This window comes from Homo sapiens, chromosome 17 (assembly GCF_000001405.40).
Source record: "Homo sapiens chromosome 17, GRCh38.p14 Primary Assembly".
NCBI lineage: Eukaryota > Metazoa > Chordata > Mammalia > Primates > Hominidae > Homo > Homo sapiens.
In genome coordinates this window covers 76,711,197-76,737,460 of record NC_000017.11, presented here as the reverse complement: position 1 = coordinate 76,737,460, position 26,264 = coordinate 76,711,197, and the positions used below count along the sequence as shown (strand labels likewise).

The 26,264-nt window shown below is 48.5% G+C and overlaps 4 protein-coding genes and 1 non-coding gene across 38 annotated transcripts in view, besides 10 other annotated features; 3 read left to right on the top strand and 2 right to left on the bottom strand.

Annotated features, from left to right (window-relative positions):
- Nucleotides 1-827, bottom strand: part of MFSD11 (major facilitator superfamily domain containing 11) — a 67,172-nt gene extending 66,345 nt beyond the window's left edge. For 5 of the 6 annotated variants that reach the window (NR_148231.2, NR_148229.2, NR_148230.2 and 2 more), the window contains exon 1: nt 370-827. The gene's annotated coding sequence lies outside the window, so the exon portion shown is untranslated. The remainder of the gene's footprint in view (nt 1-369) is intronic. The other variant, NM_001353017.2, reaches the window with a different exon arrangement.
- On the top strand, nt 50-3,346 carry SRSF2 (serine and arginine rich splicing factor 2). 6 transcript variants are annotated; one of them, XR_429914.5, is made up of 5 exons: nt 50-662; nt 997-1,307; nt 1,586-1,689; nt 2,303-2,400; nt 2,899-3,346. XR_429914.5 is itself a non-coding variant. In NM_001195427.2 (3 exons), the coding sequence occupies exons 1-2, from the start codon at nt 301-303 to the stop codon at nt 1,298-1,300; spliced, it is 666 nt and encodes a 221-aa protein (NP_001182356.1). In that variant the 5' UTR covers nt 130-300; the 3' UTR covers nt 1,301-1,307; nt 2,303-3,346. The 6 variants fall into 6 exon arrangements, 2 of the variants coding, with proteins under 2 accessions (NP_001182356.1, NP_003007.2); XR_429913.5 differs by lacking the exon at nt 1,586-1,689; XR_002958055.2 differs by having other exon boundaries at nt 997-1,689.
- Nucleotides 380-429: an enhancer, noted in NCBI's record as "active region_12814". NCBI's record gives its function as "activates an Ori minimal core promoter by ATAC-STARR-seq in GM12878 lymphoblastoid cells {active_cell/tissue: GM12878}" and the evidence as "EXISTENCE:reporter gene assay evidence [ECO:0000049][PMID:35858748]".
- Nucleotides 431-1,056: an enhancer, noted in NCBI's record as "NANOG-H3K27ac-H3K4me1 hESC enhancer chr17:74732487-74733112 (GRCh37/hg19 assembly coordinates)". NCBI's record gives its function as "activates a minimal SCP1, AML or CMV promoter by ChIP-STARR-seq in primed H9 embryonic stem cells {active_cell/tissue: H9 hESC(primed)}" and the evidence as "EXISTENCE:reporter gene assay evidence [ECO:0000049][PMID:30033119]".
- Nucleotides 600-649: a silencer, noted in NCBI's record as "silent region_9028". NCBI's record gives its function as "represses an Ori minimal core promoter by ATAC-STARR-seq in GM12878 lymphoblastoid cells {active_cell/tissue: GM12878}" and the evidence as "EXISTENCE:reporter gene assay evidence [ECO:0000049][PMID:35858748]".
- Nucleotides 690-969: a silencer, noted in NCBI's record as "silent region_9027". NCBI's record gives its function as "represses an Ori minimal core promoter by ATAC-STARR-seq in GM12878 lymphoblastoid cells {active_cell/tissue: GM12878}" and the evidence as "EXISTENCE:reporter gene assay evidence [ECO:0000049][PMID:35858748]".
- On the top strand, nt 913-1,011 carry MIR636 (microRNA 636). The gene has a single exon (NR_030366.1). It is a non-coding gene; the product is annotated as a microRNA 636 (primary transcript).
- Nucleotides 3,580-11,420, bottom strand: METTL23 (methyltransferase 23, arginine). 21 transcript variants are annotated; one of them, XM_047435308.1, is made up of 6 exons: nt 10,582-10,622; nt 10,248-10,491; nt 7,684-7,771; nt 4,246-4,483; nt 4,084-4,168; nt 3,580-3,940 (listed from the first exon to the last, which is right to left on the bottom strand). In XM_047435308.1, exons 3-6 carry the CDS (start codon nt 7,753-7,755, stop codon nt 3,775-3,777), a joined length of 561 nt encoding a protein of 186 aa, XP_047291264.1. In that variant the 5' UTR covers nt 7,756-7,771; nt 10,248-10,491; nt 10,582-10,622; the 3' UTR covers nt 3,580-3,774. The 21 variants fall into 21 exon arrangements, 20 of the variants coding, with proteins under 20 accessions (XP_047291264.1, XP_047291263.1, XP_047291265.1 ...); XM_047435307.1 differs by having other exon boundaries at nt 7,667-7,771; nt 10,283-10,491; NM_001302703.2 differs by having other exon boundaries at nt 3,581-3,940; nt 7,667-7,771.
- Nucleotides 7,806-8,436: an enhancer, noted in NCBI's record as "H3K4me1 hESC enhancer chr17:74725107-74725737 (GRCh37/hg19 assembly coordinates)". NCBI's record gives its function as "activates a minimal SCP1, AML or CMV promoter by ChIP-STARR-seq in naive H9 embryonic stem cells {active_cell/tissue: H9 hESC(naive)}" and the evidence as "EXISTENCE:reporter gene assay evidence [ECO:0000049][PMID:30033119]".
- Nucleotides 9,094-9,722: an enhancer, noted in NCBI's record as "H3K4me1 hESC enhancer chr17:74723821-74724449 (GRCh37/hg19 assembly coordinates)". NCBI's record gives its function as "activates a minimal SCP1, AML or CMV promoter by ChIP-STARR-seq in primed H9 embryonic stem cells {active_cell/tissue: H9 hESC(primed)}" and the evidence as "EXISTENCE:reporter gene assay evidence [ECO:0000049][PMID:30033119]".
- Nucleotides 10,242-10,691: a silencer, noted in NCBI's record as "silent region_9026". NCBI's record gives its function as "represses an Ori minimal core promoter by ATAC-STARR-seq in GM12878 lymphoblastoid cells {active_cell/tissue: GM12878}" and the evidence as "EXISTENCE:reporter gene assay evidence [ECO:0000049][PMID:35858748]".
- Nucleotides 10,242-10,982: a biological region, named in NCBI's record as "NANOG-H3K27ac-H3K4me1 hESC enhancer GRCh37_chr17:74722561-74723190".
- Nucleotides 10,353-10,982: an enhancer, noted in NCBI's record as "NANOG-H3K27ac-H3K4me1 hESC enhancer chr17:74722561-74723190 (GRCh37/hg19 assembly coordinates)". NCBI's record gives its function as "activates a minimal SCP1, AML or CMV promoter by ChIP-STARR-seq in primed H9 embryonic stem cells {active_cell/tissue: H9 hESC(primed)}" and the evidence as "EXISTENCE:reporter gene assay evidence [ECO:0000049][PMID:30033119]".
- Nucleotides 10,802-10,931: a silencer, noted in NCBI's record as "silent region_9025". NCBI's record gives its function as "represses an Ori minimal core promoter by ATAC-STARR-seq in GM12878 lymphoblastoid cells {active_cell/tissue: GM12878}" and the evidence as "EXISTENCE:reporter gene assay evidence [ECO:0000049][PMID:35858748]".
- JMJD6 (jumonji domain containing 6, arginine demethylase and lysine hydroxylase) lies at nt 10,855-24,625 on the top strand. Of its 4 annotated transcripts, NM_001081461.2 has the most exons (7): nt 10,855-11,114; nt 11,606-11,994; nt 13,403-13,689; nt 15,528-15,663; nt 16,963-17,101; nt 18,601-18,728; nt 20,739-24,625. In NM_001081461.2, the coding sequence occupies exons 1-7, from the start codon at nt 10,986-10,988 to the stop codon at nt 20,773-20,775; spliced, it is 1,245 nt and encodes a 414-aa protein (NP_001074930.1). In that variant the 5' UTR covers nt 10,855-10,985; the 3' UTR covers nt 20,776-24,625. The 4 variants fall into 4 exon arrangements, with proteins under 4 accessions (NP_001074930.1, NP_055982.2, XP_047291644.1 ...); NM_015167.3 differs by lacking the exon at nt 20,739-24,625 and having other exon boundaries at nt 18,601-19,010; XM_047435688.1 differs by lacking the exons at nt 18,601-18,728; nt 20,739-24,625 and adding an exon at nt 16,105-16,198 and having other exon boundaries at nt 16,963-17,095.

Genomic DNA, 26,264 nt, shown 5'->3' with positions numbered 1-26,264 from the left:
GCGGGGCGCGCGGCAGGGTCGTTACGAAGCGGGGCGCGGTGGGCCAATCAGAAGGTTTCATTTCCGGGTGGCGCGGGCGCCATTTTGTGAGGAGCGATATAAACGGGCGCAGAGGCCGGCTGCCCGCCCAGTTGTTACTCAGGTGCGCTAGCCTGCGGAGCCCGTCCGTGCTGTTCTGCGGCAAGGCCTTTCCCAGTGTCCCCACGCGGAAGGCAACTGCCTGAGAGGCGCGGCGTCGCACCGCCCAGAGCTGAGGAAGCCGGCGCCAGTTCGCGGGGCTCCGGGCCGCCACTCAGAGCTATGAGCTACGGCCGCCCCCCTCCCGATGTGGAGGGTATGACCTCCCTCAAGGTGGACAACCTGACCTACCGCACCTCGCCCGACACGCTGAGGCGCGTCTTCGAGAAGTACGGGCGCGTCGGCGACGTGTACATCCCGCGGGACCGCTACACCAAGGAGTCCCGCGGCTTCGCCTTCGTTCGCTTTCACGACAAGCGCGACGCTGAGGACGCTATGGATGCCATGGACGGGGCCGTGCTGGACGGCCGCGAGCTGCGGGTGCAAATGGCGCGCTACGGCCGCCCCCCGGACTCACACCACAGCCGCCGGGGACCGCCACCCCGCAGGTACGGGGGCGGTGGCTACGGACGCCGGAGCCGCAGGTAAACGGGGCTGAGGGGACCGCGGGAGGCGGGGCGGGGCGCGCGGGAGGCCCGGGCGACCTCACAAAGGTCCGCGGCGAAGCACGTGGTGCGGGCCCGGACGGGGCGGGGGTGCACGCCGCGTCTCGCGACCCTCCGGCCACCCCGCGAGCTTCCGCCGTCTGCGACCCGGGAGTGGCCGGGGTGTGGGCGGCGCGGGGCGGAGGACCCCGCCTCGCGACTGGGGAAATGGCGTCTGGCGGCGAGATAATGGCGGCCTGGGCGGGAGCGCGCGGGCGGGGCCGGCCCCGCTGCCTGGAATTAACCCCGCTGTGCTTGCTCGTCCCGCCCGCAGCCCTAGGCGGCGTCGCCGCAGCCGATCCCGGAGTCGGAGTCGTTCCAGGTCTCGCAGCCGATCTCGCTACAGCCGCTCGAAGTCTCGGTCCCGCACTCGTTCTCGATCTCGGTCGACCTCCAAGTCCAGATCCGCACGAAGGTCCAAGTCCAAGTCCTCGTCGGTCTCCAGATCTCGTTCGCGGTCCAGGTCCCGGTCTCGGTCCAGGAGTCCTCCCCCAGTGTCCAAGAGGGAATCCAAATCCAGGTCGCGATCGAAGAGTCCCCCCAAGTCTCCTGAAGAGGAAGGAGCGGTGTCCTCTTAAGAAAATGGTAATGTCTGGGAATCCGAGACACATAACCCTAATTCATAAATGGGATTTGGGGTAGGTCTTTTTGAGTCGTGTTAATGTAAGAATGACTCCTATCATTAGGAGTGCTGCTCGGAGGTTACTCACCTTTGGGAGTAATACTGAAGAGAGGGGTCTGCAGAAAGGATGTGTATGAAGCTTAGATAATAATGGCTGTTTCGTAAACTGTTTGAGACCTATTAATGAAAATGACTATTTCTTGCTGTTTTTATCCAACGTCTGCATTTTCCCCCTTTAAAGCTGCGGTCTCCTGTTTGATAAAAGAATATTGGCCAGTATTGCAGATTTTAACTGATTTGGCTGATCCTCCAGGGACCAGTTTCTGTGGGCGTGTATTGGAGCAGGTTTGTCTTTAAATGTTAAAGATGCACTATCCTCTTAGAGAAACAATCAGTTCAACTATTGTTGTACTGACTGGGACTTCATATTCTAATGGATGTGGCAAAAGAATTGCAATAAGAAGCAGTGAACATTTGGAACCCCAAAAGAAAGTTACAGGTATTGCACTGGGTGGGGAAAGGATAGTGTGTCTTTAACTCTTAAATTGTTTGGTCCTATTTTTTAAAAAGGAAAGGGCCCTAAGTAGCTCAGATATTAAAGTAGTATTCTCAATTACCAAATGTTTCATTTGAAACAATTTATCTTAATGAAATATAGACCAATTCTCTGATCTCGAGTTGTTTTTGTTTGGATACAGCCCTTTTTTTTTTCTTTTTTTTTCTTCCCCTTACCTTTCTTCACCTTGGTTATTTGGCCAGGAATACGTAAATTCAAACTTGTACATGCTGATGGTAGCCTTTGTGAAATTTTCCTAATTGGGCCTTTTAAAAACATGGCTGGGTGGAACATTTCTGTACCCTACTGGTTTGACCAGAGCCTTAGTAAGTACGTGCCTGAAACTGAAACCATGTGCACTTTAATGGAAGGTAAGCTGAACTTCTTTCTTTTCAAACCTAGATGTATCGGCAAGCAGTGTAAACGGAGGACTTGGGGAAAAAGGACCACATAGTCCATCGAAGAAGAGTCCTTGGAACAAGCAACTGGCTATTGAAAAGGTTATTTTGTAACATTTGTCTAACTTTTTACTTGTTTAAGCTTTGCCTCAGTTGGCAAACTTCATTTTATGTGCCATTTTGTTGCTGTTATTCAAATTTCTTGTAATTTAGTGAGGTGAACGACTTCAGATTTCATTATTGGATTTGGATATTTGAGGTAAAATTTCATTTTGTTATATAGTGCTGACTTTTTTTGTTTGAAATTAAACAGATTGGTAACCTAATTTGTGGCCTCCTGACTTTTAAGGAAAACGTGTGCAGCCATTACACACAGCCTAAAGCTGTCAAGAGATTGACTCAGCATTGCCTTCATTCCTTAAAATTAAAAACCTACAAAAGTTGGTGTAAATTTGTATATGTTATTTACCTTCAGATCTAAATGGTAATCTGAACCCAAATTTGTATAAAGACTTTTCAGGTGAAAAGACTTGATTTTTTGAAAGGATTGTTTATCAAACACAATTCTAATCTCTTCTCTTATGTATTTTTGTGCACTAGGCGCAGTTGTGTAGCAGTTGAGTAATGCTGGTTAGCTGTTAAGGTGGCGTGTTGCAGTGCAGAGTGCTTGGCTGTTTCCTGTTTTCTCCCGATTGCTCCTGTGTAAAGATGCCTTGTCGTGCAGAAACAAATGGCTGTCCAGTTTATTAAAATGCCTGACAACTGCACTTCCAGTCACCCGGGCCTTGCATATAAATAACGGAGCATACAGTGAGCACATCTAGCTGATGATAAATACACCTTTTTTTCCCTCTTCCCCCTAAAAATGGTAAATCTGATCATATCTACATGTATGAACTTAACATGGAAAATGTTAAGGAAGCAAATGGTTGTAACTTTGTAAGTACTTATAACATGGTGTATCTTTTTGCTTATGAATATTCTGTATTATAACCATTGTTTCTGTAGTTTAATTAAAACATTTTCTTGGTGTTAGCTTTTCTCAGAATATGTCTCGGTCTTTTTTTCCCCCATTTATTTGAAGGACCTATTCAATTTTGTGATTGTGGCTGACTGCATAGTATGGAAGTGGAATGTTTAGTGCCTATCATTTCCTAAGTTAAAGTGGAAATGCCAGTTGAACACCTAAAAGCAATGCTTTAAGTGGCACTTTTCTTGAGGTTGTGATACCCCCTTCTCAACCTAATTTATATCCTATTTAATGACTAAGGAACAATCCAAGTACTTGTAATACGTATTTTAATTTTTGTTTCATATGAGTTTAAGTGTTGTCTAGGTGACATCAAAATCTAAGGCAAACAGACTTGACCATCTTCAGACCCACTGCATTCTCAAGCTGAAGTGGTCTGCTCATAGTTTGTGTGCCAGGTTGCTCATCAGTATTGATACTGTCCCAGAACAGGTTGTAGGTATAATTCAGAGACTGTCCTTTGCAAAGGAAATGACCAGCATTTCAACTGTATGTCTTCCTGGAAGGGTAGATTCTGCTATATCTTCTTTGTCTGCATCAAAAGACTCAAGAGGAATGTGGACACATTTCATATCCCATTTGTAGAGTAAAGCTTCAAGTGACCAGTCAGCACTTAAAAAAAAAAAGTTGTTCTTTTAAAGTCATGCCTTTTCTGTTTTGCTTCAGATGTATTCTATTCTTAAATTATGTATCGCATGGGTAGGGTAGAGTAAGGCTTAAGTTACATATAAAAAGTAAGGGTCATCCATACTTGCCTCCTAACTTGATAAGTAGACCACAATTGGACCTTGGGATTCTTGTGCATCAAAAAATATATTGTAGCCAAAATGTCTTCAAAATCTGAGGAGAAAGGATTTATGAATAGATTTTCATATAGCATCACTGGCCAAATGTACTATTGAGCCAAAAAAGCTTACCTTCTGGTTCAAAGAACACATCAGATGCAAGGATAATATCTTGTGGTGGTAGAGCCAGAAGATCCCAAGATATATGACCCCATGTTAGTCCTACCACCTGCAGATGTGGCAGGTTATTCATTTGGCAGCTTTGCCGACAGACTTCCAGACAGTGAGGCAGTTCTGAGCTGTCTGACAGTATTACTTCTGCACCACATTTGGCAGCCAAAATTCCTGGAAGGCTCACTCCAGCTCCAATCTAATAAGTTATGAAAGATGGCATTTCACAATTATACTTGGAACTGCAAATAATTGGGAATCTTAGTACTTTTTCATTATATTCTTGCATTTTTAAATAAGCATAGAGTCAGTCTTTCTGGGTTTGTATAAAATGTACCGTAACTGAACATTACTATAAACATGACAAAAGTACATTCCTTATGAATCTACTCTGCTAAAAGGTAAAAGCTTAACCTTCAATTTCAATATTAAAGGGCCATGTATCGTAACTGGCAGTTAATTGCTATGCACACAGAAGTAGTTTTGGGGCACTTGATTCCTCTGCCATGATTTTCAGTTTTGTTTTATTTTTTTGAGACGGAGTCTTGCTCTGTTCTCCAGGCTGGAGTGCAGTGGTGCAATATCGGCTCACTGCAACCTCTGCTTCCCGGGTTCCAGTGATTCTCCTGCCTCAGCCTCCTGAGTAACTGGCCACCAAGCCCAGCTAATTTTTTTTTTTTGAGAGCGTTTGGCTCTTGTTGCTCAGGCTGGAGTACAATGGTGCAATCTTGGCTCACTGCAACCCCCGCCTCCCGGGTTCAAGCAATTCTGCCTCAGCCTCCCAAGTAGCTGGGATTACAGGCGTGCACCACCAAGCCCAGCTAATTTTGTATTTCTTTAGTAGAGACAGGGTTTCTCCCTGTTGGTCAGGCTGGTCTTGAACTCCCGACAGGTGATCCACCTGTCTCGGCCTCCCAAAGTGCTAGGATTACAGGCATGAGCCACCGTGCCCAGCCACTCGGCTAGTATTTTGTATTTTTTAGTAGGGACTGGGTTTCACCATGTTGGCCAGGCTGGTCTTGAACTCCTGACCTCAAGTGATCCACCAGCCTCAGTCTCCCAAAGTGCTGGGATTACAGGCATGAGCCACAGCACTCAGCCTAATTTTCACTTCTGTTAGCATGTTCTATAGTTGATTGCTTTTCTGTAGCTAAAACCTAACAGGTCTGCAACATGGCTTTCTAGTAAAGATTTTCCAGTTGGGCCTTCAAAGCGGCAAGATGCTTTGCAGACACTAAGAAATAATACCAGGGAATGCCTTCATAAGTATTAGCATAAACACAAGCTTCCCATTTTCCAGTTCAAGGAAGGACACAGAGATAGAATTATTGTGAGTGCCCAGCAATTACAACTAGGACCAGAGGTGTGTGCCAAATCCTACCCCTAATTTCATTTACTTGGTGTAGTAAAAGTTAAGAGTGGGATGTTAATATTAAGCTTCTGGTTTGTCTATTTAGCCTTTGGTCTTAAGTATGGTGTGAAAGTCTATTTCTGCAAATGTGATAAAATTGGTTTTTCCAAGCCTTCACCAGTCTGAGGCCAGGTAGTGAGGTTAGAAAGAGAATGGGATACATTTTTACACTAATCTCAACATTTCCAAAAACAGAAAGGGCTACACTACGGTCTGAATGTGTTCACCCAAAATTCATATGTTCAAATCCTAATTACCCATCTGATGTGGGCCTTGGGAGGCAATTACATAAAGGCAGAGTTCTCATGATTAGTGCCCTTATAAAATGCCCTGGAGAGTTGCTTTGCTTCTTAAGGTACAAGACACTTAAGAACACAGAGGACACTGTCTGAACCAGAATTCTGGCCCTCACCAGACACTGAACCTGTAAGGACTTTCATCCTGGGACTTCACTGCCTCCAGAACTGATACCCAAATTTCTTTATTCTTTTGAGATGCAGTCTCGCTCTGTTGCCCAGGCTGGAGTGCAGTGGCACAATCTCAGCTGACTGCAGCCTCCACCTCCTGGGTTCAGGCGATTCTCCTACCTCAGCCTCCTGAGTAGCTGGGACTACAGGCATGTGCCACCAGGCCTGGCTAATTTTATCTTTTTTTTTTTTGAGATGGAGTCTCGCTCTGTCGCCCAGGCTGGAGTGCAGTGGTGCGATCTCGGCTCACTGCAAGCTCCGCCTCCCGGGTTCACCCACCATTCTCCTGCCTCAGCCTCCCGAGTAGCTGGGACTACAGGCGCCCGCCACCAGGCCCGGCTAATTTTTTTTGTATTTTTAGTAGAGACGGGGTTTCACCGTGTTAGCCAGGATGGTCTCGATCTCCTGACCTCGTGATCCGCCCGCCTCAGCCTCCCAAAGTGCTGGGATTACAGGCATGAGCCACCACGCCCAGCCAATTTTTTCTATTTATAGTAGAGACGGGGTTTCACCATGTTGGCCAGGCTGGTCTTGAACTCCTGACCTCAGGCAATCCGCCCGCCTTGGCCTCCCAAAGTGCTGGGATTACAGGCATGGGCCACAGCGCCCGGCAAGAGACATAAATTTCTGTTATTTGTAAGCCACCCAGTTTATGGTATTTTGTTACAGCAACCTGAATATAAAAAGGCTGCATGACACTGCTGGGACACCTAAAACAATGGCCTTAAAGACTGCCACGGCCGTGGAAGGCAGTTCAGGGGCTTCATCTAGAATAGCGGTCAGCAAACTAAAGGGCTAGAGAGTCAATATTTTAGGCTTTGTGGTCCACCTATCATCTCTGTCACACTTTTCTTTTTTCTTAGAGACAGCGTCTCACTATGTTGACCAGGCTGGTATCAAACTCCTGGGCTCAAGTCATCTTCCCACCTCGACCTTCCAAAGTACTGGGATTACAGGTGTGAGCCATCACACCCAGTATCTTCTTTAAAAAACCACTTTTTTTTTTTTTTGAGATGGAGTCTCGCTCTGTTGCCCAGGCTGGAGGGCAATGGTGCGATCTTTGCTCACTGTAACCTCCGCCTCCAGGGTTCAAGCAATTCTGTTTCAGCCTCCCGAGTAGCTGGGATTACAGGCGTGCACCACCAGGCCCGGCTACTTTTTGTATTTTTAGTAGAGATGGGGTTTCACCACATTGGCCAGGCTGGTCTCGAACTCCTGACCTCAAATGATGCACCCGCCTCAGCCTCCCAAAATGCTGGGATTACAGGCGTGAGCCACCATGCCCAGCCGAAAAACCACTTTTTAAATGAAAAAAAGTTCCAGGATAATCTCTGTACCTTAAGACAAAAACAAAACAACATTCTTAGCTCACAGACCTTACAAACTAGCTAAATTACCCGATTTAAAAATATTTAACAAAAGCTAAAAACAAGCAATATACACATGTCAACTTAACACATCTGAACATAACCTAGAACTCTGGAAACTTCAGGGGCATTTGTACCTCTAAGATGGCCTTGCCTGGCAGAGATCTTCTGTGAAACCAAAGGTACTGGGCCAGGACCACAGCACAGGGCCAAACATACATTCCATACTGGAGATGCAGGACCTGAAAAGAATGTTTTTGTGTGCCATAAATAATTTAGCTGCTGGAAGTTGGAATCATTCATACAGCAATTTCTGTCAGGCATTGGCATCCATTACAAAAATGGCAGCCCTGTTCACCAATCCACGACCTTTGGGGATATAAAACTGCAATGCAATGTGATAGAAACTCTTGATAGCACTGTTTATTCAACAAGTGCTTCTAGTGTCACAGTATCAGGGATCATTCTCAGACTGGGGATATAGCTCTCCCTGAGCACATATCCTACTGTAGAGAGGCAACGAGCAAGCAAATAAGATATTTCTAGTCAGGGGCCGGGCACGGTGACTCAGGCCTGTCATCCCAGCACTTTGGGAGGATGAGGCGGGCGGATCACCTGAGGTCAGGAGTTTGAGACCAGCCTGGCTAACATGGTGAAACCCCTGTCTCTACTAAAAATACAAAAAATTAGCCGGGCATGGTGGCACGTGCCTGTAATCCCAGCTGAGGCGGGAAAATCGCTTGAACACGGGAGGCGGAGGTTGCAGTGAGCCGAGACTGCGCCACTGCACTCCAGCCTGGGCAACATAGTGAGACTACGTTTCAAAAAAAAATGGCCGGGCGTGGTGGGTCACGCCTGTAATCCCAGCACTTTGGGAGGCCGAGGTGGGTGGATCATCAGGTCAGGAGATCGAGACCATCCTGGCTAACGCGGTGAAACCCCGTCTCTACTCCACTAAAAATACAAAAAAATTAGCCGGACATGGTGGTGGGCACCTGTAGTCCCAGCTACTCCGGAGGCTGAGACAGGAAAATGGCGTGAACCCGGGAGGCAGAGCTTGCAGTGAGCAGAGATCTCGCGACTGCACTCCAGCCTGGGCGACAGAGCAAGACTCCAACTCCAAAAAAAAAAAAAAAAAAGGAAAGAGGCTTCTATTCTCACAGGCAATATCATCACCCCCTACATTTAGGAAGAAATGCAAGTGTATTTAAACGTGAAGCCAGCCGGGAGCGGTGGCTTACACCTGTAATCCCAGCACTTTGGTAGGCCGAGGCAGGTGCATCACCTGAGGTCAGGAGTTCAAGATCAGCTTGGCCAACATGGCAAAACCCCGTCTCTACTAAAAATACAAAAATTAGCCAGGCATGGTGGTGGGCGCCTATAATCCCAGCTACTTGGGAGGCTGAGGCAGGAGAATCACTTGAACCCACGAGGCGGAGGTTGCAGTGAGCTGAGATTGTGCCACTGCACTCGTCTGGGTGACAGAGCGAGACTCCATCTCCAAAAAAAAAAAAAAAAATCCGTGAAGCCAGATTGGGTGTGGTGGCCAATGCCTGTAGTCTCAGTTACTTGAAAGGCTGAGGTGGGAGGATCACTTGAGCCCAGAGGTTGAGGTTGCAGTTAGCAAAAAAAAGTGAAGCTGTTTGGAAACAATCAGAAATAGCCTCCACTCCAGTCTTTTTTTTTTTTTTTCTTCTTGACAATGTCTTGCTCTGTTGCTCATGCCTGAGTGCAGTGGCCTGATCATAGCTCACAGCAGCCTCGACCTCTCGGGCTCAAGCAATCCTCCCACCTCACCCTCCGGAGTAGCTGGGGCTACAGGCACAAGCCACGATGCCTAATTTTTCTACTTTTTGTAGAGACGTAGTATCACTATATTGCCCAGGCTGGTCTGGAACTCCTGGTCCCAAGCGATCCTCCCGCCTCCGCCTCCCATTTAACTTCTCTAAAGCTGTTTCTTTAGCATGGGACATGCCTCACAGGCTGGTGTTAAAACCAAATGAAATACTGCAAAGTGAAAGTGCTTTGAAAAACCGAAGACAGGCAGGGCATGGTGGCTCACTCCTGCAATCCCAGCACTTAGGCAGGCGGGAGGATCACTTGAATCCGGGAGTTGGAGGTTGCAGTGAGCTGTGATCGCGCCACTGCGCTCCAGCCTGGGCGCCAGAGCGAGACAGTGTCTCAAAAAAAAGAAAAGAAAAAGAATTATTATTGAGAGTTTTGTTGTAGCTGTGAGCTTAGAGGAAGAAGCGAGGTCCAACCCAAGAAACACTTTGGGCACCAAATAAAACTGGAAACCCTGATCCCAAAACTCACACAAAAGTGAGAGATAAGGATGAATCAAGAAACCCTTGGACAAGATCAAAAGAAGCATTAGAGGTCAGTCAAGAATGTCACTTTCCTGGCAGGAAAGATTCGATGTGGAGAAAGCCGGCCCGGCGCAGTGGCTCATGCCTGTAATCCTAGCACTTTGGGAGGCCGAGGCAGGAGGATCACTTAAGCTTACAGTTCGAGACCAGCCTGACCAACATAGTGACCAGGGTCACTTCTTGGCAGGGTCTCCAAAATTCTTACTGAGAGACATTTAATGCACCGAAGGGCTTCATATCCGACGTTTTTGCTCCGGGGGTCAACCTAAAGCAGGAAGCTGCGCAGCTGAGCGTCCGCACCCCCGGTCCCTCAGGAACCCAGCCAAGTCAGCCGACATCCGCTCCTGACCTCAGGCGCCTCCTGGCGGGTGCTGCTGCACGCACCTGCGGGACGTGGACCTCCAGGACAGCCCCGTCGGCCCCCGGACCCGGCTCCTCCGAGAATCGAAAGCGCTGGGCCCGGACCCCCTGTCCTCGGAAATCGTGCTCGCCCAGTAGGGCGTCGTTGGGCCCCGGGCGGGCGGGGGACCGCGGAAGGCTCCGGGCTGCCAGACTGCGCGAGCGGGAAGCCGCGGGCCACGTGGCCGTAGCACCTGACGGCAAGAAGGGGAAAGCCCAGATCTGGTGATAACCCTGCCGCGCTGCGAGCGAAGAAAGCCCGGAGCAAGGCGAAAGAGACTCACACGCGCAGAACTGGCAACGGGCGGCTGGCGCGACCGGAAGTGATGGGCACAGCGGCAGCGCGGGAGGGGAGGGGCGGGGCGGGGCGGGGCGGTGACGCAGCCGACGTGACCTTCCCAACATGGCGGAGGCCCGCCGTATGTGAAGGAGTACCCCAGGGGAGCCAAAGCCAATGGAAAACCGCGAGAGGCGTCGGGGCGGGGAAGACGGCGGCCGCTTGCCCAACCCGAGGCTCGGGAGGTGGCTGGGGAGTGAATTTTCTGGAAGGCGACTTTAAAGGCGCCGGGACTGAGCGAAGGGCGTTTGGGTACTGCCGTCGCCGCCGCCCAGGCCGGGGAGGGGTGCGTTAGTGTCAGGAAGCGGGCTGCGCCGAGGTCGTAGCGGAACCAGCTGGCGACCCCGCAGAATGAACCACAAGAGCAAGAAGCGCATCCGCGAGGCCAAGCGGAGTGCGCGGCCGGAGCTCAAGGACTCGCTGGATTGGACCCGGCACAACTACTACGAGAGCTTCTCGCTGAGCCCGGCGGCCGTGGCGGTGAGCGGGTCGGGCGGGGGTGGCCAGGCCGGGCATCGGCACCTCCAGCCGCTACGCACCTTTCTCTGGGCCCGAGGCTGCCCTCGCCCCGAGCGCCCGGGACCTCGTAGAGGCTCACCCGCACCCCGCGGAGTTTGGGGTCCCCGAGGCGCGGATTCCGGGGCGGGTCTGCTTCCTCCCGTGCTGTGGCCGCCCGTCTGCTCTGGCGGACGACGGGAGTCCCACGCCTGTGGCGCTCTCAACTAGAAGGCCCGTCGTCCCTGACTCCTTTGGGCGGCGGGTCCCCTAGGGGACCTGGCTGTCAAGGCTCATGGGGGGTGGCTCTAGGAACGACGTGGCCTCACGCACGCGCCCTGCCCCCACCCCGGAGGAGCCAGACGAGAGTCAACTTCCTTCGGTTTGTCATTACCAGTTGGCCTTGGGGACACCCTTATCTGCCACTGGACTTTTTTTTTTTTTTTAACTGGACAGGTCTTTTTTAATTCCCTCAGGATAACGTGGAAAGGGCAGATGCTTTACAGCTGTCTGTGGAAGAATTTGTGGAGCGGTATGAAAGACCTTACAAGCCCGTGGTTTTGTTGAATGCGCAAGAGGGCTGGTCTGCGCAGGAGAAATGGACTCTGGAGCGCCTAAAAAGGAAATATCGGAACCAGAAGTTCAAGTGTGGTGAGGATAACGATGGCTACTCAGTGAAGATGAAGATGAAATACTACATCGAGTACATGGAGAGCACTCGAGATGATAGTCCCCTTTACATCTTTGACAGCAGCTATGGTGAACACCCTAAAAGAAGGAAACTTTTGGAAGACTACAAGGTGCCAAAGTTTTTCACTGATGACCTTTTCCAGTATGCTGGGGAGAAGCGCAGGCCCCCTTACAGGTAAAGTATTCTGCAGCTAAGTGGTTAAAATCCTTTTCTTTTTTTTTTTTTTTTTTTTTTGAGACAGAGCGTCACTCTTGTAGCCCAGGCTGCAGTGCCGTGGTGCGATCTCGGCTCACAGCAACCTCCATCTCCCGAGTTCAAGCGCTTCTCCTGCCTCAGCCTCCTGTAACTGGGATTACAGGCATGCGCCACCACACCCAGCTAATTTTGTATTTTTAGTAGAGACGGGGTTTCACCATGTTGGTCAGGCTGGTCTCGAACTCCCGACTTCAGGTGATCTGCCCGCCTCGGCCTCCCAAAGTGCTGCGATTGCAGGTGTGAGCCACCGCGCCCGGCCTGTGGTTAAAATCTTATCTACAACAGCATTTGCTCGCTGAGTTCAGTTGCTAATCTTTTTTGGAAACAGTGAGTACTCCCTCGGCTGTACATTGAACTCATTTAGGGGGCTCCTGAGGCCTGCCTGGGCCCTACTGGGGAGACTGATTTAATTCGGGTGATGCCTGCGCATCAGAATTTCTGAAAGCTCTTCAGGTGACTTGAATGTGCAGCTATGGTTGAAGCACTGATCTCTAAGGGAGGTTTTAATAAAGTCCAGCAATAAACCACATTAGTGATTTTTCTTTTTTTTTCTTTTTTTTTTCTTCATTGAGATGGAGTCTCCCTCTGTCGTCCAAGCTGGAGTGCAGTGGCGCAATCTCAGCTCACTGCAGCCTCCGCCTCCCGGGTTCAAGCAATCCTCCTGTCTCAGCCTCCTGAGTAGCTGGGATTACAGGTGCCCACCACCACACCCGGCTAATTTTTGTATTTTCAGTAGAGATGGGGTTTCACCGTATTGGTCAGGCTGGTCTTGAACTCCTGACCTCAGGTGATGCACCCACCTCTGCCTCCCAAAGTGCTGGGATTACAGGCGTGAGCTACCGCCCCAGCTGATTTTTCTTATTTTGTTAGGAATCAGTCCATGAACAATGCACCCAGTGTTTCTGTGTACCAGAATTTATATAATCTCTGAAATAAAGATGACATATCACATAAAATTAAAACCTGGCCAGGTGCGGTGGCTCAAGCCTGTTATTCCAGCACTTTGGGAGGCCGAGGCAGGTGATCACTTGAGGCCAGGAGTTCGAGACCAGCCTAGGCAACATGGTGAAACCCTGTCTCTACTAAAAATACAAAAATTAGCCAGGCGTGGTGGTGTGCGTCGGTAATCCCAGCTACTCAGGAGGCTAAGGCAGGAGAATCACATGAACCTGGGGAAGCAGAGGTTACTGTCAGCCAAGATCACGCCACTGCATTCCAGCCTGGGTGATAGAGCAAGACTCTCAAAGAAAAACTAAAAACTTATTGTTTTGTGTGGTATGTGTGTAAGTAAATTACACTTCACATCTTGGATATCTCCATTCTGTAGGTGGTTTGTGATGGGGCCACCACGCTCCGGAACTGGGATTCACATCGACCCTCTGGGAACCAGTGCCTGGAATGCCTTAGTTCAGGGCCACAAGCGCTGGTGCCTGTTTCCTACCAGCACTCCCAGGGAACTCATCAAAGTGACCCGAGACGAAGGAGGGAACCAGCAAGACGAAGCTATTACCTGGTTTAATGTTATTTATCCCCGGACACAGCTTCCAACCTGGCCACCTGAATTCAAACCCCTGGAAATCTTACAAAAACCAGGAGAGACTGTCTTTGTACCAGGTATAGATGAACTGGAAGAAAGTACATTCTTTGCCGGGCGCGGTGGTTCATGCCTGTAATCCCAGCACTTTGGGAGGCTGAGGCGGGCAGATCACGAGGTCAGGAGATCGAGACCATCCTTGCTAACACGGTGAAACCCCGTCTCTACTAAAAATACAAAAAAATTAGCCGGGCGTGGTGGTGGGCGCCTATAGTCCCAGCCACTCGGGAGGCTGAGGCAGGAGAATCACGTGAACCCAGGTGGCGAAGGTTGCAGTGAGTCTAGATCGTGCCACTGCACTCCAGCCAGGGTGACAGAGTAAGACTCCATCTCAAAAAAAAAAAAAAGAAAGTACATTCTTTGATTTCAATATTTTGTCATTTTGGAGCAGAACTGTTAGAGAGTGAGTCCAAAAAATCCTTTGGATGCTGCCTGGTAAATGAACTGGTACTCACCTCTGACAGTAACATGTAGCTATAGTGTCACATACTTTGGGAGCTCTTGTTCACATTTTATATGGCTATAAAACCTGATAAACTGTATGCAGGCCCGGTGCGGTGGCTCACACCTGTAATATCAGCACTTTGGGAGGCCGAAGTGGGTGGATCACTTGAGGTCGGGAGTTCAAGATCAGCCTGGCCAACATGGTGAAACCCTGTCTCTACTAATAATACAAAAATTAATCAGGCGTGGTGGCGGGCGCCTGTAATCCCAGCTACTCAGGAGGCTGAGGCAGGAGAATCACTTGAATCCGGAAGAGGAGGCTGCAGTGAGCTGAGATTGTGTCACTGCACTCCAGCCTGGGTGACAGAGCAAAACTCCATTTCAAAAAAAAAAAAAAATTGTATGTAAAGATACAACTTTTCTTTGTTTGTGTATGTGTAGCGGCTTGTTTGTGTTTCTGTAAATTGGGGTTTAATTCTTTTTTTTTTTTTTTTTTTTTTTTGAGACCAAGTCTCGCTCTGTCACCCAGGCTGGAGCACAATGGCACAATCTCAGCCCACTACAACCTCCTCCTCCCAGGTTCAAGCGATTCTCTTGTCTCAGCCTCCCAAGTAGCTGGGAATACAGGCACATGCCGCCACACCCAGCTAATTTTTTGTATTTTAGTAGAGACGGGGTTTCATCATGTTGCCCAGGCTGGTCTTGAACTCTTGAGCTCAGGCAACCCACCCGTCTCAGCCTCCCAAAGTGCTAGGATTACAGGCGTGAGCCACCACCCCCGGCCAGGGTTTAATTCTGTAAATTGAATTGGAGGTCTCACTGTTACCCAGGCTGGCCTCCTTGGTTCAAACAAGCCTCCTGCCTCAGCCTCCCAAAGTGCTGGGATTGCAGGTGTGAACCACCAAGCGCAGCCTAAATTGGGTTTTTGATGCAGTATAGCACTGTCCGTGTTGAGTCAGGAAATCCCACACCAGACAACTGCGCTTTGATAAGTGAAGGAAAGTAAGGTAAGTGTATTTAAAGTAGGTGTCCTCTTCGTAGAGGCTGAAGAACTTTATGCTTTTGCACTTTTGGTCATAGCTTTGGATTAACAGGAGTAAACAAACTTTTTCTATAAAGGGCCGGGGAGTCAATATTTTAGGTAAGCCAGACTGTCACAACTGCTCAACTCTGGCCTTGTAGCTGGAAAGCAGCCCTAGACAATCCGTCACCAGGTGGGCATGGCTGTGCTCCGATAAAACTTGATTTACACAAACAAGTTGTTTGCAATCCCTGGATCAGAAGGAACTACCCTGTATCATGTCTCTGTAGGCTCTCCCTTATGGGTAGGAGTTCCCAATTTCTGGTGTGTGTGTTATACAGTAATTAGGTATAGGATCAAACCTTGTTTAACTGTTTATTTGTTGGATTTCAGGAGGCTGGTGGCATGTTGTCCTCAATCTCGACACTACTATCGCCATCACCCAAAATTTTGCCAGCAGCACCAACTTCCCTGTGGTATGGCACAAGACGGTAAGAGGGAGACCAAAGTTATCAAGGAAATGGTATAGGTGAGAGTCATTTTTTTCTTATTTCTGCTTGGTTTCAATTTCGACCCCAGAGATAAAATGGCTAGTCCACTGCTGCGATGATGTGTGCTGATCGTACACAGGCCTGGGCAAAGCTGGGGCTGCCGACCCTCTGGGTAGAGGAGAGAGGGGCCAAGGTCAGGGCAAGTCCTCAGGGTGTTCGCCAGCCTCGAGGTGGCAGGGTGAGACTCTGCATGTTGAATCCAAGCCACTCAGTCAAGACGTCATAATTGGGATTGTTTCTCGTTTTGTTTTGTGTTTTGTTTTTCAAAGCTAGCGCTAGCTAAAATCATTTTATTTGGGTTTTATTTGGGTTGTTTCTTTTTCTTACCTAGAAGCATTATTCCCATTTGAACTTAATACCTTCAGTTCTTGTGAGTGAGGTGACTGCCCTGGAGACTTAGCTCCTCTGTTTATCCACAGAACAGATACAGCACGGGCAGCGGCAGTGCAAGCCACCCACAGCCACCCCGTGCCACTGTGTCCCAACCCTGACCTGGAGGGACCAGCTCTCGGGGTAAGAGAGGGATTCTGGCTTGTTCCATGCTCAGCCTCCCTGCTGAGAGGGCCAGTAAGGGTGGTGGCTTCTGTTCTCCCTGGACTCTTGGGCATCTGAGGCCCACTTACCCCGCCCCGTAGGCCACTGCGTGCTGTGATTTGGTCACACCGCAGGCCTTATGATACAACAGGTCTTTTGTCACTGGATACAGTGGATGCCAGATAAGGTTTCTGAAGGGGAGGGCTGCTGCTCTTCAGTTCAGTTTTACGCTCCCAGTGAGGGGGGACCATCTCTGTTATTTGACACCTCGTATTTCTTACAAATCTAATTGTTTCTACTCTTAGAAATAGAATCTAACCAATGCAACTCTGATCATTATGTGCTGTGCTGTGGAAAGGAAAGATTTTTTTAAAAATCAACTGGGAAGGGTTCAGGAAGTAAAACTAGGAAGAGAAACTTTTTGTCCTAAGGGAATAAAACTAAGACTAACTTAAGGAAAATTGTGCCTCGTGTATTGGTGGCACGGCTGGCTCATTTATGCAGGTGGTAGTAAATTGTGTGTAGTTAGTATAATTTTCCTTGCAGAAAAACATGGGCACCGTATTGGGTTTCTCTTGTTCCCAGCCTGGGGTTTTGTCCTCACCATTGTACAGTATCCATTCTGAACGGACACACCTGGCATTCCCAGGTGTTTCTGAGAGACACAGGCCTCGACTCTGAGTGAGTCTTTGTGAGTGGGTATGGCTGTCAGTGCACTGAGAACAACACTTCTTGCCTCTCAGGATTTTGAAGCAAGAGCACCCCGAGTTGGCAGTCCTCGCAGACTCGGTTGACCTTCAGGAGTCCACAGGGATAGCTTCCGACAGCTCCAGCGACTCTTCCAGCTCCTCCAGCTCCAGTTCGTCAGACTCCGACTCAGAGGTGAGGCCTTGCTCTCTGGCTGACTCCTGGAGCCTCCAAGGCTCATGTAACTCAGTCATAACCAGGTGTGACTCTTCCTCCTCCTATCCAGGAGAAGGATATGAAAGTTTTTCCACGTTGTTCTAAGGGTTACACAGTTGTCACCATTCCTGCTGAGTGGTGTATCTTGCCCATTTTACAGCTTTGCACATGTGCATGAATTTTTGTTTGTTTGGAGACTGAGTTTCGCTCTTGTTGCCCAGGCTGGAGTGCAATGGCGCGATCTCGGCTCACTGTAACCTCTGCCTCCCAAGTTCAAGCGATTCTCCTGCCTCAGCCTCCCTGGTAGCTGGGATTACAGGCGCATGCCACCACACCCAGCTAATTTTTTGTATTTTTAGTAGAGACTATAAACTCTGTATACTTCAGTAGGGCTTCACTGTGTTGACCAGGCTGGTCTCGAACTCCTGACTTCAGGTGATCCACCCGCCTCAGCCTCCCAAAGTGCTGGGATTACAGGCATGAGCCACAGCGCCCGGCTAAGAATTGTTAAAATAGCCTCGAGGTATCAGGGGTATTTGGGGATTTAGTGAAGTAAATGGCTCAAGATGAAGCAGCAGTGTCAGATTTCAAACTCATCCTTCTGACCTCAAAGCTCATATGAAGAATTTCCCCCATGGATGGTGAATTGTAAGCCTGGAAATTCAGCAAATCCAGTAACCTTAAACTTGAAGCTGACAGTAATACTGGGTGAGAGGGCCCTGCACCTTTAACAGATGAAATTTCTATCTCAGCCTGGCGCAGTGGCTCACGCCTGTTAACCCAACACTTTGGGAGGCTAAAGTGGGTAGATTACTTGAGGTCAGGAGTTCAAGACCAGCCTGGCCAACATGATGAAATCCCATGTCTACTAAAAACACAAAAATTAGTTGGGTGTGGTGGTGCACACCTGTAATCCCAGCTACTCAGGAGGCTGAGGTGGGAGAATCACTTGAACCCAGGAGGCGAAGGCTACGGTGAGCCAAGATCATACCACTGCACTCCAGCCTGGGCGACAGAGTAAGACTTTGTCTCAAAAAAAAAAAAATTCTGTCTTTTCACACAGTCTACTGATTGAGTCTTTTCTCGTCAGGCGGGGAACAGGCTCTGGGAATGTTCAGTGCTATACCTACTTCTTTCATATATCAAGCTCTGTTGGTAGAGTGAAATCTTATAATGTACTTTCAGAATTCTGACTAAAAGATTTTTACAATGGGTATCCTATTCAGACAGATAACCACACGGTTAAGAGAACAGTGGAGGGATACTTGGCCTCTGAGGGAAGTTTGAAATTCTTAGGGAGCCAGGAACATCCAAGGAGGTGGCTATGAAGGCTACATTGTGGAGCTGTCATAATGACTGCTTTGCATTTGGGAGAAAGTGACCAATATCTGTGCTGTCTCCCGAGGTCAGAGGTTTGTTTAATGAAGAAGTGGGTTGCATCCAGGTTGACTCCTTGTTTTCTGTCCTCCTGTGTCCAGTGCGAGTCTGGATCCGAGGGCGATGGGACAGTGCACCGCAGGAAGAAGAGGAGGACGTGCAGCATGGTGGGAAACGGGGACACCACCTCCCAGGACGACTGTGTCAGCAAAGAGCGCAGCTCCTCCAGGTGACCCAGCAAGGCTGTTGTCTGTATGGAAGGACACGCTCGCGGCAAGGGCAGGGCCTGGGGAGGGTGGCCTGTCCAGTCCTGCAGACAAGGGGAGGCCTGACAGAGCCCAAGAATGAGGACACCCTCGGCACGGGAACCCATTCACTTAGCGTTTGCTCCAGTAGCTTTCCCTCTGCTACCAATGCAGATAAACGCGGCTTGTTTTACTCAGGCAAGAGAATGTGAATAGTGCCAAGAAAATCCTTTACATTATTTAATAAAAATTGAATCCATTTTCTATCTTGGAAATGTTTTCCTTTGAGAATACCAGAACATTCCCTTATTGCTCTTCTCCTCATGGTGGTCTTGGGGGAAAGCAGTGACTCCTGCTGTGCATCCTTGACCACAGAGTCGTCGTCCCAGCAGCGTAGGGAGAGCCATTGGAAAAGTCACCCGGCATCTTCTGCAGAACCTGAGGCGTGGCCTCTTGCTTTTTCTCCCAGTTTGCCGTTGCTGCTTGAGTGCTCAGCCAAATCAGACAGCAGCAGAAAACTCTGATTTGTCAAATCTTTTTTTTTTTTTTTTTTTTTGAGACAGGGTCTCGCTCTTGCCCATGCTGGAGTGCAGTGGCGTGATCATGGCTCACAGCAGCCTCAACCTTCCAAACTCAAGCAATCCTCCTGCCTCAGCCTCCCAAGTAGCTGGGACTACAGATTCACCCCACCATGCCCAGCTTATTTTTTTTTTATTATTTTTTTTTGAGACAGAGTCTCGCTCTGTTGTCCAGGCTGGAGTGCAGTGATGCGATCTCGGCTTATTGTAACCTCTACCTCCCAGGTTCAAGCAATTTTCCTGCCTCAGCCTCCCGAGTAGCTGGGATTACAGGCATGCGCCACCACGCCCAGCTAATTTTTTTTTATTTTTAGTAGAGACAGGGTTTCACCATATTGGCCAGGCTTGTCTCAAACTTCTGACCTTGTGATCCGCCCACCTTGGCCTCCCAAAGTGCTGGTATTACAGATGTGAGCCACCATGCCCGGCCAGCTAATTTTTTTTATTATTTTTAGTAGTGACAAAGTCTCTCTGTGTTGCCCAGGCTGGTCTTGAACTCCTCACCTCAAGTGATCCCCCCACCTCAGCCTCCCAAAGCAGCAGGATTATTACAACAAGCATGAGCCACCTCACCCAGCTTTTATAAAAACTTAATCACGTCTCCAAGTACAAGATTGGACCTAAATAAGTTAAAATTTAAACGTGTTTGCAAGCACCTGGGCATGTAACAGGCTCATAATGGAATTTGTTCACTCTGCATTTGTCTAGGGTCTTTAAATGCCACAGGTCTTTGATGTGCTGGTTGAAGTGTTAAGAGAGGTTGTTGGAAGATAGTAAAATACTGAAGTTGAAGCTAGGCATCGTAGCTCAAGCCTGTAATCCCAGCACTTTGGGAGGCCAAGGCAGGAGGATCACTTGAGCTCAGCAGTTCAAGACCAGCTTGGAGAATATAGTGATACCCTGTCTTTAAAATATATATATACATGTTTTAATACTGACGTTCATAGGGTTTTGAATGTCTGAAGCCCTTGACTGCTGAAGGTGACATTCCTGTTAACGTTTTCTCTCCCAGCAGCTCAGTCTTTCTTAAATGCATGGGGGAAGTGCAGGACCCGCAGCCCTCCTATCGCGTGGCCTCCATTCTCTGTGGTTTAGCTGAAATTCCATGGGGAAATTCAAGTGACTTACTCAAGTGAATTTATCAAACTGGAATGTGCATTTCTCAACCCTCGATGTCCTTTCACAGCCATACTTAGACTCTTCCTGCCTTTTTAAATTGTTTCTATTATTACATATTTATAGATTTATATCTGCACTTGATCTGTGACTTTGTAATTTGTAAGAAAACTCTGGAGAAAGCCCTGCCATGACTTCCACGTGGGGTCCCGGGGGTCCTGCTTTTAACATTGCCTTCCAGCTTTGTACCCAGCATGCTGTCTACGTGCTGATTACAGGCAGTTGTGCTTTCCTTGGCAGGATTAGGGACACTTGTGGAGGCCGGGCTCACCCCTGAGCAGATAAAGAGACTCTCCCTGAGGTGCTTTCAGCGTAAGCTTTTGGCAGCCACCCAACTCAGTTCTCGCATCTTCTGCTCCTACCTTCTCCTCTGTCTTCTTTGAATTTGGATATTCCTTCCCTGGTCCAAGCTCCTATCTTCGGTCAAATGCTGTTTTTACTGCTTCCTAAGGATAGATTATCAAGAAATTTAACAGCTCGGCCAGCTCAGTGAAACACTGAAGCTAATGGGATGTTGGGTAAGAAGGTTCTGTGCTGTCTCATTGAAAACCGAGCCAGTCAACCACAAGGCTGGCAGGGTGTGATCCTTGTAACGTCTTGTGTCTGTTACCTCACGGATGTCGGTAAGGAGTTTCCACAGAGCCAGCTGTGTACCACAGAGACTGAGAGTGGTGAGTGGACTTTGTGAGCCAATTATGTGTCGGAAGGACTTGGAGTCTGCCCTTCTTCCTGTATGTCATCATCAGCCCACAAATGCATTCAGTGGCAGTGACCCAGCACCATCACCATCACCCACTGCTCAGTCTGTCTTAGGATTCCTTATCTTTTTCTCCATCATCATAGAGACTGAAATTTCAGGGGTGTTTTTGTACAGTGTATTTTTTTGTGGGGGGGTGATACATTGGGGTTTTTTGTTTGCATAGAGTGGGAACGGTGTGCAATGTGCTCTTACCACAGAACTTAAAGTATGAATAGGCTCCATTCTTCCGCACCATGGGATCCATAAGAAGTGCTCACTTTGCGAGGTACTCTGAGATTAGCGTTCCCCATTTGTTTGACCTACAGACGTTAAGTGGGTGACTTGTGTTACACACGGGGAGTAAATTCAGAGATGGCACCTGTAGTCTTTGCAGTCTGTTGATACTTCTAAATAACTAACTGGATGACTTTTTGGGGATTGACCAGCAGATGCCATCTCTTGCCCTCTTGATTCACCTGCTTGCCTTAATTTGTCCCTAAATTCAACTAAACTTCAATAAGAGGGGTTGTCAAGGCCATGGGGCGCACTTGGAAGCACTGCCTGGGCTGGAGCGTTGGAGGCATTGGCAGGCAGGTGGGAAGGAGCTCTCACTGCAGTGTTCACAGGCAGGGAGGCTGTGTGTGGATGTGTTAGAATTGTGTGCTGTTGCCTCTCAAAATATCCACTAGAAACAGGTGTAACCAGGAAAATACAGGTCTCTGCTCACTGTTATTAACAGACTGTCATTTCCTGACATTGGGTCATGTGGCTTTACTCTAGGAGGCTGGTTCTCTATTTTTGTCTTAGTTCAATTTTCTGCATCCTCAAATGCCAACCCCAGTATGTGGCTGGGTAGGTAGAACTGTGCTGCCTGCCTGCCATGGGGGCTGCTCTCCCTCCTTACCCCCACGCCCACAGCCCCCTTGGTTCTGTGGTGGGCACAGGATGTGTTTGGGTGTGAGTAAAGTCAAACTCTGAATGTATAATCTCTTGGTAGTAATATCTGAGTGGTGTTGCTACTCCTGCTTTTTAAAAAGACTTTTCTTGCCATCTATAAAAAGCTTTTTTCTTTTTCCCAGCATTGCTCCTGTGCTGCCACGCTTGCCCTTTTTCCTTACCTTCCTTTCAGTTTTCTATCAACAACTCCTCTAAACTTCAGTTTAAAATAAAAAACAGCCCAAAAAGGCTCTTTGCCACCAGGGGGCGTGGTAGGACACGTTGCCAGTGGTCTGGATAGGGGAGCAGAAATTTTGAATTTTAAAAATTAGCCACCAAGGCCAGGTGCAGTGGCTCACACCTGTAATCCCAGCACTTTGGGAAGCTGAGGCAGGGGGATTGCTTGAGTCCAGGAGTTCAAGACCAGTCTGGGCAACATAGTGAGATCCCATCTCTCAAAAAAATAATAATCTAGAAAATAAAGATTAGCCACCCAGTTTTCTTTCTCCAGATGCTAAAGTTGATTCCTGTTTGATAACAGTATTCCAGAAATGAGGGGAATAACATATCTGATAGGCCCAAGTCAGCTCTGGATAGTACAGTGTCTGGATAGTACAGATTCTGTGCTCCTGGGACATGCTTTGTTTATTCCTGCCAGGCCAGGGATTCAGCAGCCCTATTCCCCAACCCCCGTTACTGTCTCTGTGGGCTAGCCAGGCTGTCCGTTATGTAAGCACAACAGGGGCAAGGTGGGGAAACCGTGTGTGGAAAAGGAGTGGAGTGGTGGCGGGTGGCCAAGGTAGACTAGGAAGAGTGGGTACCCAGAGACCACTTGTTCAGAAGTTAACTCCTCTTCCCATCTGGCGTGAGCTACTCCATTGAATGGTGCCAACAACAGTAAAGTGAAGGAGATAATGTTAGATTATTTTCAGGGATGATTCTCCAAGATGACAGCAGATCTTAAAACCAAAGAGCTGGGTCCTGGAAGAAGGGATCTTGGATTATTAACTTCTGATGGAAGGACCAGAGTGGGAGAGAGAAGAGTTGGGGACCTAGAACATCAGGAGGACCCTGGGTCTTTGGGGATGAGGCTTCACCATCAGCTGGAAGAATCCATGCTTCACACACATGCCTCTGCCATTAGTGGTACTGGGATGTTTAGGGTGACATCCTTGAGGGGAGAGCCACTGAAAAGAGGGACATTCACATTTTGCTGTATTCTTGCAGCTGTCCGTGTCTTAATAATTCAAGCGTTCAATAGGTGTTTGAGGGCCAGGCACTGCTCTTGAGGTGCTGGAGATAACGGTGACAAGCCCAGGTCCCTGACAAGCTCCACAAGCTTAATGGACAGTGAATGTGCGGCTGTTGCGGCTGTTCACAGGGCCGCTGGTGAGGGCAGGTAGAAGAAAGTGCAGACCTTCTTAAATGCAGGTGTAACGGATCTACATGAAAGAGCATAATTAACACCAATGTATACTTAAGGTAGTAACAGCTTCTTCATAAAGTAGCAAAACTAAGGATCTGTGGGAAGGTTGCTGGTGCAAATGCTTTATAAGCTTACTAGAGACTGAGCCTTGGATTTAGGACTTTAGACGAGTATAGGATGGAACAAAATTTTTGCAGTAAATGTAAAAAATGCTGTGTAGGAGGAAGGCGTATAAGGATGCCCCAGCTGTAGGTTCTTTAGATTGTCTGTAGTATTTCCACGAGTAAGTTGTTTTTGATGTGTGTACTGGTATTGCTGGTAGATTTGAAGTGGAGTCTGGCGGCTTCTTCCACACTCCCCTCCCACTAGCTTGTGTCAAGATGTGACATCCTATGCAGCAAAACTAGGTGAGCTTGCACCCCCAGGCGGTGGCTCTCAACTTTGTCTCATTGTTCAGAAATTTCGGCCAGGCGCCGTAGCTCACCCCTGTAATCCCAGCACTTTGGGAGGCCATGGCAGGTGGATCACTTGAGGTCAGGAGTTCAAGACCAGCCTGGCCAACACGGTGAAACCCCGTCTCTACTAAAAATACAAAAATTAGCCAGGTGTGGTGGCACATGCCTGTAGTCCCAGCTACTTGGTCAACTCAGGCAGGAGAATCACTTGAACCCAGGAGGCAGAGGTTGCAGTGAGCTGAGATCAAGCCACTCCAGCCTGGGTGACAGACCGAGACTCTGTCTTTAAAAAAAAAGAAATGTCATCTAAGCCCCAGTGAACCTCCTGGGAGGAGAGCTAGCCCTGGCCAGCTGTCTCCAAAGTGACTGGATGCTACAGAAGAACTGGGACTGTCTTCTGCACACTCGTGCCTCCTGGAGTTGTCAGAACACTGAGCAGTCTCCTAGTTCTGCGTCCGTCTAGCCATGGGGTCTGCCATGAAAGCCTGTGGATCTGCTATTGGGTTGGTATTTTAAACTTTCACTTGGGTGAAACTTGTTCATCATTTTAAATAAAGCAACATGATTTGGAGTTGTGTTTTTGGCATTGTTTTGTCCTTATTTTCTTTCTTACTCATTTGAAAGTCAACAATGTACTTTGTCAGCAGAACAGGACTTTAAAAAAATGTATTTACACTTTAAAACAATGGGATGGAGCACAAAATTAAGGCCCTGGGCCAGGAGCATTGATGCACACCTGTAATCCCAGCTGCCCAAGAGGCTAAGGCAGGAGGATCACTTGAGCCCAGGATGTCGAGGCTGCAGAAAGCTATGATCATGCCTGTGAATAGCCACTGCACTCCAGCCTGGGCAACATAGTGAGACCCTGTCTCTTTAAAAAAAAAAAAAGAAAGAAAGACCCTGTCTCTTTAAAAAAAAAAAAAAAAAATTGGCTGGGCGCGGAGGCTCACGCCTGTAATCCCAACACTTTGGGAGGCTGAGGCAGGCAGATTGCCTGAGGTCAGGAGTTCAAGACCAGTCTGGCCAACACGGTGAAACCCTGTCTACTAAAAACAGAAAAAAATTAGCCGGGCATGGTGGTGGGCGCCTGTAATCCCAGCTACTCAGGAGGCTGAGGTGGGAGTTTCGCTTGAACCCGGGAGGTGGAGGTTGCAGTGAGCCGCGATTGCGCCACTGCACTCCAGCCTGGGCAACAGAATAAGACTCCATCTCAAAAGAAAAAAAATAGGCCCATACACTGGCTGAAACTTCCACAGTGGTTAAAAGCTAGTCGCCCGTAGATAAAGCCTATTTCACATTTTATAGTTTATAGGCTCTTTTCATCAACCACCACTAAAAGGAAGTGCATGGCCCGCTTAATATCGTGCAGTGCAGCAGAATTCAGCTCTCCCTGTTGCTGAGGGGTCTCGTTTGTGTATCTTCATTTAAAAAGAAGCACTCCATCTAATATCTGGTTTATATCACAGATCAGCTCAGGCACTGTAATATTCCCAAAAAAGTATTAAAGGCATCCTCAGCAAAAACTGGAACCGTGTTTTTTTTAACATTAGGCCTTATGTTTGGCGTGATACCTGACATGCCCGTCCTGTGTTTATTTAAAATAACTAAAGAGTGGGTGGGGAGTGGTAGGAAAGTATGTTTTTGGTTACAACGTGTTTATCTCAAAATCCACTGTTCAGCAACAGAGGCCTGGGAGGATCTGGAGAAACAAAAACAATAGCCTTCATTTCCTTCATTGTACCCTCCCACCCTGCATGCATTCTGGAATTGTGCAAAGAAGAAAGTCTGGTAAGAGGAATAGCGTTGACCAAGGACCTGCAGCTGAATTTCAGGTCTAGGGGCGGGGGAGCCATGTTACTGTTAACAGGGAGGCCTGTGTTGAAGGCTGCTGGCCTCAGCTCCGAAGGGAGCATTCACTGGCCGGGATCTGGAGATGTCCTCTGTGAAAGTGCATTAAGGCAACCCTGAGGATTAAAAGCAACTCCTGACATGCCTATAAAAACGGCAGTGGCTGAACGTAATCCGGCATTATGATTGCTTTACAAGCCAATCCAGGCTGCCGTTTCCATGAAGCTTCCCGGGTTTGCTTGTCTCTCTGCATTCCCACATTTCCAAAATGCTCTAAGACGAACCGCCGTACTAAGGCCAAAGATGACAACCTAAGGGCACCTCATACAGTATTTCAAATTGAACCTGAGCTAAATTGTGCC

Coding starts and splice junctions, on each gene's coding strand:
- JMJD6 (NM_001081461.2), top strand. CDS start 10,986: ATGAACCACAAGAGCAAGAAGCGCATCCGCGAGGCCAAGCGGAGTGCG. Junction 11,995..13,402: donor AAGCGCAGGCCCCCTTACAG/GTAAAGTATTCT, acceptor TCCATTCTGTAG/GTGGTTTGTGATGGGGCCAC. Junction 18,729..20,738: donor AAAGAGCGCAGCTCCTCCAG/GTGACCCAGCAA, acceptor TTTCCTTGGCAG/GATTAGGGACACTTGTGGAG.
- METTL23 (NM_001378349.1), bottom strand. CDS start 7,750: ATGTATGTTTGGCCCTGTGCTGTGGTCCTGGCCCAGTACCTTTGGTTT. Junction 4,484..7,666: donor CAGGCAAGGCCATCTTAGAG/GTACAAATGCCC, acceptor ATAACTTATTAG/ATTGGAGCTGGAGTGAGCCT. Junction 4,169..4,245: donor TGTGTTCTTTGAACCAGAAG/GTAAGCTTTTTT, acceptor CTTTCTCCTCAG/ATTTTGAAGACATTTTGGCT.
- SRSF2 (NM_001195427.2), top strand. CDS start 301: ATGAGCTACGGCCGCCCCCCTCCCGATGTGGAGGGTATGACCTCCCTC. Junction 663..996: donor TACGGACGCCGGAGCCGCAG/GTAAACGGGGCT, acceptor TCCCGCCCGCAG/CCCTAGGCGGCGTCGCCGCA.